Source organism: Homo sapiens, chromosome 8 (genome assembly GCF_000001405.40).
Source record: "Homo sapiens chromosome 8, GRCh38.p14 Primary Assembly".
Classification (NCBI taxonomy): Eukaryota; Metazoa; Chordata; class Mammalia; order Primates; family Hominidae; genus Homo; species Homo sapiens.
The window spans coordinates 7,952,449-7,966,749 of NC_000008.11; the positions used below are offsets into that span (position 1 = coordinate 7,952,449).

The 14,301-nt window shown below is 42.5% G+C and overlaps 1 long non-coding RNA gene and 1 pseudogene across 1 annotated transcript in view; both read left to right on the forward strand.

The window, feature by feature from the left end:
- The window catches only part of LOC124901865 (translation initiation factor IF-2-like), a 451,468-nt pseudogene that overhangs the window by 338,725 nt on the left and 98,442 nt on the right, over positions 1 to 14,301 (forward strand).
- FAM66E (family with sequence similarity 66 member E) overlaps positions 2,565 to 14,301 on the forward strand; it is a 53,743-nt gene continuing 42,006 nt past the window's right edge. Inside the window, exons 1-2 of the long non-coding RNA NR_027424.1 lie at positions 2,565 to 3,110; positions 8,785 to 8,848. This is a non-coding gene — a long non-coding RNA (family with sequence similarity 66 member E). The remainder of the gene's footprint in view (positions 3,111 to 8,784; positions 8,849 to 14,301) is intronic.

Genomic DNA, 14,301 nt, shown 5'->3' on the forward strand with positions numbered 1-14,301 from the left:
TTCAGTCAATGTACTAATCTTAAAAAGCATCAGAAAATTCACCCTGGAGAGAAAATTATAAACTTCTTCAGAACATATTCTGACTTTAGATGACACAGTGTTAGGAATGACGAAGGTAAGGAATGTGGAAGAGACTTCAGCTGTAGTTGTAGCATCTAAACATGCCAAAGGACTCACATTTTGAAGAATTACTGTAATCAACATGGAAGATACTTCAGTTGCCTTTATTCTTCAGCCCACATCAATAAATTCATATGGAAGAGAAATTGTATGACATGTATGTACCAAAGACTTGTTAGTGATCTGAGCATAAATGACATGAGAGAGCTGAAACTGTCAGCATAATCAACTAAAAGTCTTCAGCAACAGCTTTAACTTAAAACATGTGGGACTTTCAGGTAGAGAATCTCTAACTCTGCATTCAGTGTGAAAATGTTTTTATTTGCAATTTATTGTCAAATAACATGAGAAAACTTTACTTGGATGAACCCTTTATTTGTATTTTTCTGTGAATGAACATTCAGCCAAGCACCAGGCTTGATGTTCACAAGAGAAGAGTGACAAAATGCTGCTAAAATGGAAAATAAGAGAGGAAAGCCTTCATAAGCTAAATAACAAGGGAAAGTCTTTCCAAGGGCAATGAATTCTCTTGGAATACCAAATACTTCTTACTGGAGAAGTTATGCAATGAAAAATCATGAGAAATCCTTTCTTCATAGAGCAACACATGTGGCACATGTGAGATTTCACACTGGACAAAACAGGGTTAGCATCTTGAAAGAAGAAAATTCTTTAGTGGTAATTCATTTCTTAGTTGACATTCAGTTTCTCACATTGAGGAGCTATCAAACTTGAAAATCACTGTGGAGAAACCTGATAGATTTCTCATCAGAAAAGTGAGTCAAGAAGGTGGACCTCTAGAAAAAACTCTTAACACATACTTTAGCAAAATAATTCAGAAATTTGAGAAAATATCTATTCATAAAAATGTGGCATGTAAATGCATAATAGCAAAGTGACCAAGGAATAAATTGAATGCAGAATTATATAAGAAATCTCATTAAACTTTTCCAAAAGAGCAATACTTACAAATATTGAAAGAATACAATCTGTTGTTGAAAAAACTTAGTATGTTGGTGAAGCCCTTGTTTCATTTATGCAGCCCTAACAAACTGATTCGCATCTGAACTCCTTGGGTGAGATTCTTGGTGGAGATTCTACCCCAACTTCTGAGTCTCCCCAGTCTTCAACAGCTCTTTCCTCACAGCTCACCTCCCTTTACTTCAACGTCCACCAAAACCACTTGTTTCCATCCAACCCTCGAGTTGACACACCAGGGATCTTCAGCCCCACTTGCTAGATTTCTCAGTTTGTCATTGCATAGATTTAGCAGGGAAATGGAGGCTGTATCAAAGACCCCTAGTATATGCATTTGGGTGTCCCCAGCTCTTGCCTCTGTCTCTGAGCAGTTACCTGGGATCAGAGAATAAGGCAGCTCTTCTCTTCTATCCCTCAGAAGGCTCTTGAAATTTTGTCCCTGGAGCCTCTCTAACTGGAAGTAGCAGTTCATCTCATGACACCCCACATTTTATTCAGGTGAGTCCTGAGTTATTACACAGAGACAGACACAGCTGTGCTCCTTTTACTGCAGTCCAGAAGATAAAACACCAGCATGATAAAACAGCCGAACCTGTCAGCCACCTTGCAAGCCTTTTCTATATTTGATTCAATGTACTTTTCCCGAAGCAAAATGAAAGTTCTCACAGAGGGGCCCTCCTCTGCCTTGTCCTCAGAATTGGAAAATGTATTGTCCGTGAAGGAGCCTCACCACTGAACCTAAAACTCAAGAGAAAATGTTTCCTAAATATCAAGTGGGATGACTTGAAATTTTGTCAAACAGGCAGAATCTTAATACGATCGGCCTTACTAAGGCTAAATGGCCTTATCCATGGTTGAAATTGACACATCATCATATTAAAAAATCTCCACGAGTGATTGATTTTACTCTGCAGCCAGGGTTTATGTCAAGTGTGAGGATAATGAGCAAGAAATTCAAGCCCTTGGCAAACTGGTTGGAGAGGCAAGGACTGTGTCCAGGCAGAGCTCATATCATTATTTATTGTTTAATCTATTTAATTAAATATGTAATTTACCCACAAACTGTGGCTGACATTATATGTACTCCTGAGCCACATTAAGATGTACTATTTGTGCTGTGAAATTCTATGGGATTTGACAAATGCATGGTGGCAGATCTCCAGCCATTATTAAAGCGTAACACAGAATGCTTCTCTTATTCAAGCTCGTCTTCCCTCCACATAGAGGGAATCAATCGACTTTTGTATACTGATTTTTGAATTTGCTTCTTTATTTCCATCTTCTTTAATTAAAGCACAAGATATCGTACTCAATTTCCATTTGATCTTCCAAAAGAAAGTACTGAATAATCCACACCTGAATTTCAGTGATTCAGACTCAGGTCCACCGCTAAGACCAAACGTCCTGTGCTGCCACCTCATGGCCGGCAGAGGGCAATGAAACCCACCTTTCCGGCCATGCAGGGCGCATGCGCGGTCTGCCTCCCGCGGCGGGCCGGGTCTCCAGGGAGGACCTGAGTTTTCTTCACCCATTGTCAGGGAGGCGCCATCGCCCTGGCTTTGGGGCTGGGGCCTCCGGGGAGGTTCCGGTAGGGGCGTTGGAGAGGCCGCTCTTTTTGCAAGGCCCGAGACGGCGGGCCCTGCGCAGGCCGCCCTATTCCGCGCCCTCAGGGCGTCAGTATCAGCCTGAGGCTGGATACCCCCGCTGGGCCCGGATGCCCCCGCTGGGCCCGGAGCATCCTCCGGCGCTGCCCTCCCAGAGCCCCGCAGAGGCTGAGGTGGCGCGGGGGCGGCCCCGGCTCCGCGAGAAGCGGCGGCAGCGAGGGCTGGAGGACCCGGGCTGCGGGGCTCCGGGGCGTCTGGCCTGGGCGGGACTGAGCCCATCCAGGGACTGGGACTCTGGGATTCTGGTGTAGGTGGATCCGGGGCAGGCTCAGGACCAAGTCCCTCTCCTTCCACCAAGGAGCGCCCAGAGGCCGGCGGGAGCTCCAGGTTCACCTCCTCCTCCTCCAGGTGTTTACTTTTCCTTTATTTCTGTGAGGCCAGAAATTGTCGCCATCCTTCACATTGGTGAATCGGGACCCTAACACTCATTACCTCAGGTTTATTGTTATTGCCATTAACAGTGTTGGTGGCATTATCACTAAGATCATCATTGTTGTTATTATTGTCATTTATGATTATTAGCAGGTGTGTTCATCATTTTGCCTCACTATGCACATATATATATTTGGGATTGGTTTTGTATGACGTTGAATTGAGCTTCTTTAATCTTGACCAGTGTTGTCAGATTTCTGAAGAGCATTCCGGAGGACATCTCCTGCCTTTCAGCGCAGCCACAGAATTTCGTGGGCACAGGAGAGCACCTAGAATATTCCCCTTTCATTGCACAGCAGCTTTGGGAAATAGTGGCTTCCTGGCTCTGAGATGAGGTAGAAAAGACTGGATACTGGGGCAAGTGTTAGCACCTCCACTGGTGTTTTTATGAAGCTAAGAGCACTGTCTCCCACGTAGACTTAGAATAAAATCTGATGGCTCTAAAGGGCCATGGCTGCCCTTCCTGGGACTTCCTGGGAACCTTTAAACCTTCTGTGGTTCCTGGAGTAGGTAGGTTGCCAAGTCTGTGCCTCATATGGTAGCACCAGTCTTTTCTGGGCCAACAAGGGCACTTAGAATGTTTCCAGAAGCTCAGGCGTGCTGTCTCTGTTCCTCCCTTCTGTTCAATGGCAATTCCCTGGGTCCCTGGCTGATATAGAACATCCTGCCGAAGGTTGGGCTTGGGTGACTTCCTGGCCAGCCTTCCCAGGCAGTCATCTTTGAAAACCTTGAAGAGACTCACAGAGGCTATTCACTGGTATTTCATGACTGCAAGTGGGGTTTCTGGATCCTTGAGTTTACTTAGAATATTTGAATGGCTCTGAATGGCCAAGAAACCCTCCCTGATCTTAGAAGCTGCCAAAAGCTATTACTGGGCCCTGAAGAGACTTTAAAATTTTTCCAAGTACATTTGGGCATAGGAAACTTTTCCGGGTCTAGCTGAGCCAGCTCAGGTTGAGTCCTGAAAAACTGGTGGGTACTGGGGGATCTCAACTTACGAAAGAGCAATTGGTGGCAAAGCTGGGTCTCCAGGATAGCTGTGTGTGTATATGTCTGTAGCACATGCCTTGCAGTCATCTTTAGTAACTGAACACCATTTGTGAATGGATAAACTATATTCATTGCTGTACAATGATGAAAAATCCATATTAACAATGGCAGTAATAAAAATATTGATGGATATTAACAGGAATAATGATCATCATGATACTAGTACTAATGGTTTTAATACTGATAATAATACTAACCCTATGGACTTGGGACATATAAGTTTTCCATAAGTGGATAATAGGCATAAATATTTGGCTGTGTAGGGTTACTTCAAGTCCCAAAAAGCAAGGATGAACATCTAGAACGAGAAGAAAAACAATCTGGAGGTTAGTATGTGCACACCTGGGGACTCCTGTGTTAACTTCTGGTGTTTCAGCCTAAGAGGGAATGTTAATATAACCCTGGTCCTGGAACACCATGCTGACCAACACCTATCAGCTTTCAGGAGATAAGACAGCTGGCTGATGGGGCAGGGATCCAGAGAAGGCACGGGTCCACACCTGCACATGTTGCCCAGTGGCAGAGTTCATGACAAGCAATAAGCCCCAGGACAATGTCATTCCCAGCCACCTGGCTGTCATCTGCTCTTTCATGGCCCCTCTCTACTGGTACCTCTAGGCACTGGCATGTCCTCCAGAGGCTGCAGGAGGGCATGATACTCAGTACTCTCCCACCTGCAGGAGGCAAGAAAGATGGAAACAGCTAAATACCACGGCTTCTGGATTTTTTTTGGTGGGCATGGCATATTTTGCATTTGCTTTAATAGTGGTGGAACCCAGTCAGTAGCTTGCAATACAGATCTAGATGACTCTGGACACCTGTAGAGATTTTGACAATTTCCAGAAGGTCACAAGTTCTTGGAGGACTTTTTCATGAGTTCTTTGACTGAAAAGATGGTTCAAAGAGCTTCTATACTGACTTAGAAAATGTTGCAGAGGCCAGGTGCGGTGGCTTATGCCTGTAATCCCAGCACTTCGGGAGGCCAAGGCAGGCGGATCATGAGGTCAGGAGTTTGAGACCAGTCTGACTAACATGGTGAAACCCCTCTCTACTAAAACTACAAAAATTAGCCGGGCGTGGTGACACGCACCTATAATCCCAGCTACTCGGGAGGCTGAGGCAGGAGAATCGCTTGAACCTGGGAGTTGGAGGTTGCAGCGAGCCAAGATGGCGACACTGGACTCCAACCTGAGCGACGGAGAGACATTTTATCTCAATAAATAAATAAATAAATAAATAAATAAATAAATAAATAAAATAAAAAGGAAGAAAAAAGAAAATTCACAGACACTCTGGTGAACAGGTAGGCCCTCTCCTGCCACTCCAGGTAAAAGTTTCTTGGCCACAAACCTGATTTGGCAATATCCCTTCATCTTAGGTGGGTAACAGAAAGCCATTCATGACCTATCCAAGCATGGAGAGGGGATTTGACTTAGAAAACTGTTACGTGGACTAGTTGGTGAAAGAAAGTGCATTCTAGGACTCACAGGCCTACACACAGAGTTGCTATCAGATAAAGCCGATGTATGAACTCTTTCTGAGCCCATGGCAAGATGAGGGTGCACTTCATCAGTCTCTTATGCTGGTATGAATAGGTACTTGCCTGAAAAATAAAAGAATAATTCAGGAAGCCCATTCTTCTACAGGACACCAGGCAGTACAGTAGGAGTCCTGGGGTTGCTGTGGTATTTATGTTTTAAGGTTGTCTTTTAATCATCTTCAGCAAATTCAACAGTCTTCAGGAACATAAAAAAATTTTTCAACATTACATAAAAATGACCACAAATATATCCATGATAAAGAACTGTACCAATATAATAACATTAATAACAATCATAATGGTGATGATATGTCAATTTAATGAAGAGAGTAATAAAAAGCAGATATTTAAGAACATATTCCTGTAAGCCTGTGACAATGTTCCCATATGAGCCCTCATGTTATTGATTAGATGGGGAAGCTTAGGGCTACATCTTGAAATATATTCTGTGAAGGCAAAGAAGAGTGGCAGTACGGAGAATTATTCTGAGCCACATGAGAGCATGGGCAAAAGTGGAGATACCTGTGCCATGTGGAAATACATTACAAATGGACTATGGCAAAGGGTCTGGCCAGAGTCTTGCCTGACACAGCTCGTACAAAAGCCTTCAGTAGTGCAACCCAAGAAATAGCTGGTCCAGGCTGTAGATGAGAGGCACTGGGCAGACAGATCCATACCCACCTACTGAGTCTCAGAAGTCTGGTGTGCATGGAACATTAAGCCCCTAGCCTACTGAAACTTCACCTCCCAGCTGGTCTTGTACCATCTGATTCTTGAGCCCCATCATGTTAGTGTCATCTCCATACTGGAATTGCCAACAATGTCTGATGGAGGGTTTCACCCTGGGTACTTGGTACCAGCAATGTATGAAATACCAGAAGGGAGGCTCCAGGGCTTCCATAGAAGACACATTCTAAAGTTACTCAGGTGATCAAATGGTCATCTCAGAGATTTTCAGTAGAACTGCAGCATTTTGTCAATACCTGAGTGAATGCAGAAACTATCCAGAGGCACGGGCATTCTAGGAAGCTCCCTGTGTAAATCAAATACAAGGAATATCTACTTCTGGGCTCAAAATCTAACTTAGAGAAAAAAAAATTGAAGTGCTGGCAGAAGACAAATAACTCCACTTCAGTTCTCAAGAGAAAAATGGTTCTGTAACCTCTGAGTTTATTTAGAAAAATTTTGGAGCCTCAGGAAGACCGAGTATATCATTCCTGATGTTTCCAGGACAGATTGGACTGCTTAGGCCTTTGGGAATATTCTAAGTCCTCTCGGGTTTCCATGGGAGACTGTAACTCTACTCCTAGAGCTCACACCACCCCTGAGCAAGTTCATTGTTTTCTAAATATTCCAAGGAAGCCCATTCAGGGTATGTCTGTATTGGTGAGTTTCACTTTGGACTGGCAGGAGAAGACTGAGAATGATACATCCTGAGTTCACTTGGTAAAGGTAGGGTAGCCAAGAAGTCCAGATCTGGAGAGCACCTGAAACACCAGATGGCAGAAGGACAGTAAGGAGGTAAAGTCAGCTATGGAGTTGGAGCTTCATGTTTACTGCATGTAGGATTCTGAGTTCCAGGACTGATGGGCTGGTGGGGATCAGAGACGTGTCTTCCTTGCAGGGAGCCAGGCCAAACCAACCATCTGGTTGCACTACTGAAAGCTTTTGTGTGCCCAGTGGTGGGCAGGACACAAATCACAGTCCCTTCACCTCTGGCTGGTAGTTCTTGATGAGAGAGGTTTGCACACAAATGTTCATATTAGCCCATGGTCTCCTGCGGCTTGCTTTTCTTTCACCTCCTGTTTTTGATGTTTGCCATCATGGAACACATTTCATAGAGAAATTCTTTGACTCTGACTCCAAATTACACAAGGAGGACAGTCTGTGAAGTTTTCATATATTTAGGGGAAGCTCCACATTAATTTTTGTATCCTTACGTTTATAATGTCTCCAGTATTAAAATTCGTACTATTTAGGTCATTGAGTTCATTATCATGATTATTAATTATTTTTCGTATATCATTTCTTTTTATTGGTTAATTTTTGTGGCAGCTGTTATATAACAATCACTAGAGTTTCCCTATTCATGAAAGATGTCCAAGTTAATGGAGATAACTAGGAGTGTTACTTCACAGGTATGTAAATACAGATAATCTTGGCTGAACTGTGGCTATATTGTCTGGTGTCCCTTTGAGGGTGAAGCCTCTTGTATTATTCTAAGTGACCTCTGGAGAAAGCAACTGTCTCATAATTGCAGGGACGACTTGAGAAGGCATCCTAAGCCTATGCAGAAATGTAGAAACACTTCCATTATCTAAACAACCTATGTGAAGGCCTGAAAGCCAAAGCAAGATCCTCTTGTTACAAAGCTGTCCAACAAAAAGTTTTCCAAGTAATACTGGAGGTCCGTCAGTCAGTCTTCCTGGTCTGGAAATGCCAGAAATGTCCTCCTTGGTCCTTCTGAGAGTCAAGATCTTTTCAAAATCACCTCAGGAGCCACAGAACCACTCCATCCTACCTGAAATTGCAGGATGACTCTTCTTTTGACCAGAGTCTCAAAAATATATTCGTTGATAGTTTTGATTCCTGGGAGCCGCCATTGCTTGCAAAAGATGTGCCAGAGACTAGACATTTTCTGTCTCCTCACTTGTCCGGGGAAGACTGAAGTTTTACTGAAACACAGAGATGGGAATCTGACCCTCTGAGCAGCCGCAGGATATTCTAAGTCTTCCAAGAAGAGTAGAAATATTGGTGAGGACCCATTGCACCCCCTGATGGTCTGCAATCACATAGGATGATGCTTTCAAACAACTCTAGGTGTAGATACATTTTCTGAGATATTCCAAGGAGGAGGGACACAATTGGACCAGATGTTAGAAGGACAGCTGAGCATTAAGTGCCTATGTAGTGTTTGCAGCTTAGTGTCCCATGCAGAAGGGGAATCTGGGCCCTGGTGTTAGAATTCAGTGTAATTCTGGGTTCCTGCTTTCCTTCCAGGAAATCCCACTTCCAGCTAGATGTCTGCATGAACTACTGAAAGCTGCTGAGTGTCTTGCAGCAGGTGAGCTGTGGCCAGAGCTCAAGGATGAAGGGGACTCCCTCACTCTGTGACTGTGAAGAGGAAGCCTGAGGTGTAGCAGGCCCAGGTCCCAGAAGTATGGAAAAAATGAGGTAGGGAGGGAGGGGACCTCAGGAGAAGACTGAGGTCTACAGAATCCCAGGGTCAAGGGGATGGTGCGGTGTCCGGGCACTGTCCTTGATGTTCCAAGAGGGGTGAGAATCCATCTCCTGAGTAAAAACTTCACATGGAGTGAGGAGGGGAGAAGTGAACAGAGAGGAAGCAGGGAAGGCCAAGACAGCGACCAGCCTCACAGCAATTTTAACCAGAAATGGACACAGACCCTGGACCCCATCACAGGAGTGCAGGCCTAAGACTGTCTCCAGGTGATGCATAGCTCCCTTGTCAGGTTAGTGGGTGCAGGCATTGTGACGTCTGCAGGGGTGTGGAAGGCTGGGCAATGGGAGCAGCTTACTGGGCTGGACCAGAAATACTGAACTTCTTTTCCATCAGTGAAATCCGCTTCTGGGTCAGAAAAAACTGCGAGTTCCAGAGGGGCAGGGCCTAGGAGGAGGTCAGGTCCTGAGCCCTCCTGGTTTGACCCCCTCCCCACCCCCTGTGTTTCTGGGTCTGTCCTCAGTTCCACCCAGCAGATCCTGAGTCTCTTCCTTTGAGTCCCCGTGAGTGTGTTGTGTGCAGTGGGGCCGGGCTGCTTCATCCACTGCACATTAAATGTTTCCAATACTTTCCGGCCAAAGCTTAGAGTTGTCAGACCACTGAATTTGAATGTTGACCTGGTTCCTTGTGGAACAGAGTAATAGCTATTGAAGTTTAAAGTCACTTTCCTGCGTGGATGGTGAAGAGGCAGGCTGTTCAGGCATAGCTGTCCTCAGGCCTGGAGGGCTGTGGAGGTCACCGTGGGCGGTGGGTGGATCCGGAAACTCTGTGGCTCTAGACTTTCAACTATTTTATTTTTTCTTTTGTATTTTTTGTTTGTTGCTTGCTTTTTTACAATGGGAACTAGAATGTAAGATGCCAAACTCAGCCTGTGGGGAACATGGATTTTCACAACAGCAACCACAGAGCGTGGTTTCCATTTCTATTCCCTGTTCATGTGGGAGGGAGAGAAGGAAATCAGGTGCTCAGTTCCAGGGACATCACAGGACTAGGACATGTGCAGTGAGGGTGGAAGGCAGAGGCATTGCTTTAGGAGAATAAAATTACTGCATGCACACACATATGTATGTATATGGATGTATGTACACAAACATGCATATTTATAGATTCTGTTCTCCCTCTCTCTATTTAATTTTCTTTATTTCACACTTGATATGATTTCTAAATTTAAATACCTTTGAGACAAAGGTGAATTGTGAAGGGATTTAAAAATGTCAGTGAAAAATGGAATTAACAATAAAAATATAAATATAAACTTTATTTCTCAATATAAGCTCTATTGAGGTCCAGACACTCCATTAAGGGATGATCCCAGCCATTCAGTCCATTGCTAAACAACTGAGGGTAACGGGAATTTAACCGTGTCAATGCAGTCTTCTTTTACTAACTAAAGAAAAATGAGTGCCCTTTACAGTTATTTTAAGATTAGGGAAAAAAAGGTCAGAAGAAAACAAATCAGGACTGTAATGTTGATGCCTAATAATTTCCCATGAAAACTCTTGCAAAATTACCCATGTTTGATGAGAGGAAGGAACAGAAGTGTTGTTGTGGTGCAGAGGGACTCTCTAGTGAAGCTTTACAGGGCGCTTTTCTGCAAAAGTATTTGCTAATTTTCTCTAAGAACTCTCCTAGTAAGCAGATGTTATCGTGCTTTGATCTTACAGAAAGTCAACAAGCAAAATGCCTTGAGCATCCCCAAAACCTCCATGGCTTTAGCTTTTGAGAAGTTTGCTTTTGCTTTGACTGGACCACTTCTACCTCTTGGTAGCCATTGCTTGAATTGTGCTTTGTCTTCAGGATCTTATTGATAAAGCCAGTTTCACTCCCTGTTATAATTCTTCAAAACAATGCTTCAGGATCTTGATTCCGCTTGCTCAAAATAGTCACTAATAGCTCTGCTTTTGTCCACTGCTCATCTAGGCACAAGGGTATTTGGGACTCATCAAATGTAAAGTTTCTCAACTTTCACGTTATAGTCAGTATTGTGTAACCTGAACCAATTGAGATGTCTGTGGTGTTGGCTGTAATATCTCTTGTTAATTGTCAATCCTCCTCAATTAGGGCATAGAAACGATTTTTTTTTTCCTCAAAAATTGGTATGGATGTCCCTCCTCTGTTGACTTCATCTTCAACATTGTATTATCTCTTCTTAGAATAAGGTATCCATTTGTAAATGACTGATTCTTCAGGTCATTTTTCCCATAGACTTTTCATAAAGAATAATTTATTTCACCATTTTTTGTACCCCAGCTTCACCGTAAATTTGATGTTTGTTCTTGCTTCAGGTTTGACAGAATTCATGTTGCTGCCATAGAGGGGCTCTTTTCAAACTGATGTCTTAAATCTTGTTCAGGTATGTTAAAACAGGGCCAGGCACGGTGGCTCACGCCTGTAATCCCTGCATTTTGGAAGGTTAGAATAAAGTTTTTTAAAACTTTATTTTATTTCATTTTAAGTTCTGGGCTACATGTGCAGGATGTGCAGGTTTGTTACATAGGTAAATGTGTGCCATGGTGGTTTGCTGTACCTATCAACCCATCACCTAGGTATTAAGCCCACATGCATTAGCTATTTATCCTGATGCACTCCCTCCCCACTCACTCCCAGACAGGTTCCAGTGTGTGTTGTTCCCCTCCCTGTGTCTGTGTTCTCTCATTGTTCATCTCCCACTTATAAGTGAGAACATGTGTATTTGGTTTTCTGTTCCTGCATTAGTTTGCTGAGAATAATGACTTCCAGCTTCATCCATGTCCCTGCAAAGGACATGATCTCATTCCTTTTTATGGCTGCATAGTATTCCATGGTGTATATGTATCACAGTTTCTTTATCCAGTCTATCATTGATGGGCATTTGGGTTGGTTCTATGTCTTTGCTATTGTGAATAGTGCTATAATGAACATACGCATGCATGTATCTTTATAATACAAGAATTTATATTCCTTTGGGCATATACTCTGTAATGGGATTGCTGGGTCAAATGGTATTTCTGATTCTAGGTCTTTGAAAAATCACCACAGTCTTCCACAGTGGTTGAACTAACTTACATTCGCACCAACAGTGTAAAAGTGTTCCTATTTCCCCACAGTCTCACCAGCATCTGTTGTCTTTTGACTTTTTAATAATCACCATTCTGACTGGCATGAGACGGTATCTCACTGTGGTTTTGATTTGTATTTCTCTAATGATCAGTAATGTTGGGCATTTTTTTCATGTTTGTTGGCTGCATAAATGTCTTCTTTTGAGAAGTGTCTGTTCATGTCCTTTGCTCACTTTTGAAATTTTTAAATTTTTATTTTTTAAGACAGAGTCTTGCTCTGTCACTCAGGGTGGAGTTCAGTGACACAATTTCGGGTCACTGCAACCTCTGCCTCCCAGACTCAGGTGATTCTTCTCTCTCAGGCTCCTGAGTAGTTGGGATTACAGGCCCGCACCACTACATCCGGCTAATTTATTGTATTTTCAGTAGAGACGTGGTTTCACCAGCTTGGCCAGGCTGATCTTGAACTCCTGGCCTCAAGTTATCTGCCCACTTCACCCTCCCAAACTGCTGGGATTACAGGCATGAGCCACTGTACCCTGGTTTTCCCCACTTTTATATGGGGTTGGGTTTTTTACAGTTTTGGGTTTTACATTTAAGTCTTTCATCCATTTTCAGTTCATTTTTGTATAAGGTATAAGGAAGGGGTACAGTTTCAGTTTTCTGCATATGTCTAGCCAGTTTTTCAAACACCATTTATTATTAAATAGGGAATCCTTTCCCCATTGCTTGTTTTCATCAAAAATAAAATGGTTGTAGATGTGCAATCTTATTTCTGATATATCTATTCCATTCCATTGGTCTATGTGTCTGTTTTGTACCACTACCATGCTGTTGGGTTACTGTAGCCTTGTAATATAGTTTGAAGTTAGGTAGCATGATGCCTCTAACTTTGTTATTTTAGCTTAGGATTGTCCTGGGTATATGGGCTCTTTTTTCATTCCATATGAATTTTGAGGTAGTTTTTTCTAATTTTGTAATGAATGTCCATGGTAGTTTATGGGAATAGCATTGAATCTATGAATTAATTTGGGAAGTATGGCATTTTCATGATATTGATTCTTCTTACCCATGAGCATGGAATGTTTTTCCATTTGTTTGTGTCCTCTCTTATTTCTTTGAGTAGTGGTTTGCAGTTCTTCTTGAAGAGGTCCTTCACTTGCCTTGTTTGCCGTATTCCTAGGTATTTTATACTCTTTGCAGCAATTGTAAATGGGAGCTCATTTGTGATTTGGCTCTCTTCTTGTCTATTGGTGTATAAGAATGCTTGTGATTTTTGCACACTGATTTTGTATCTTGAGACTTCACTGAAGTTGCTTGTAAGCTTAAGAATCTTTTGGGCTGAGATGATGGGATTTTATAGATATAGGATCATGTCATCTGCAAACAAAGACAATTCAACTTCTTCTTTTACTATTTGAATATGCTTTATTTTTTTCTCTTGCCTGATTTCCTTGGCCAGAACTTCCAGTACTATATGGAGTAGGAGTGGTGAGAGAGGGCATCCTTGCCTTGTGCCGAATTTCAAACGGAATGCTTCCAGGTTTTGCCTATTCAATATGATATTGGCTCTGGGTTTGTCATAAATGGCTCCTATTATTTTGAGATATGTTCCATCAATACCTAGTTTCATGAGGTTTTTAATTTAAAGGAATGTTGAATTTTATCAAAGATCTATTCTGAGTCTACTGAAATAATCATGGGGTTTTTGTCTTTAGTTCTGTTTACATGGTGAATTACATTTATTGATTTGTGTATGTTGAACCAGCCTTGCACCAAAGGGATGAAGCTGACTTGATCTTGGTGGATAAGCTTTTTGATATGTTGCTGGATTTTGTTTGCCACTATTATATCGAGAATTTTTGCATCAAAGTTTATCAGAAATATTAAACTAAAGTCTAGTAAATACATTGAAAATAATAACAGACTGATTAAAAGACTAAATAATATGAATCCTAAGTGTTCTCACAGCTGATTTATAGAGTAAAAGCATTGTCAAACCAAATGAGCTTGGATAGAAACTGTATAGAGTCTGAGATGTTGTCTGAACTTCCAGTCACTCATTGTGAAGTGGAACTGCAGTAACTACATTTGGTGCAAAATTTCATGTCGATGGAAGCTGATATGTCCTGCAGTCTCAGAGGGACAGAATTCTGGTGTATCTCCCTTTGGCCTATGAGGAATGAAGATTTAGGCCCTGAGGGTTTTGTCAAAATTTATAAGATGTAAGAAATGGGGACA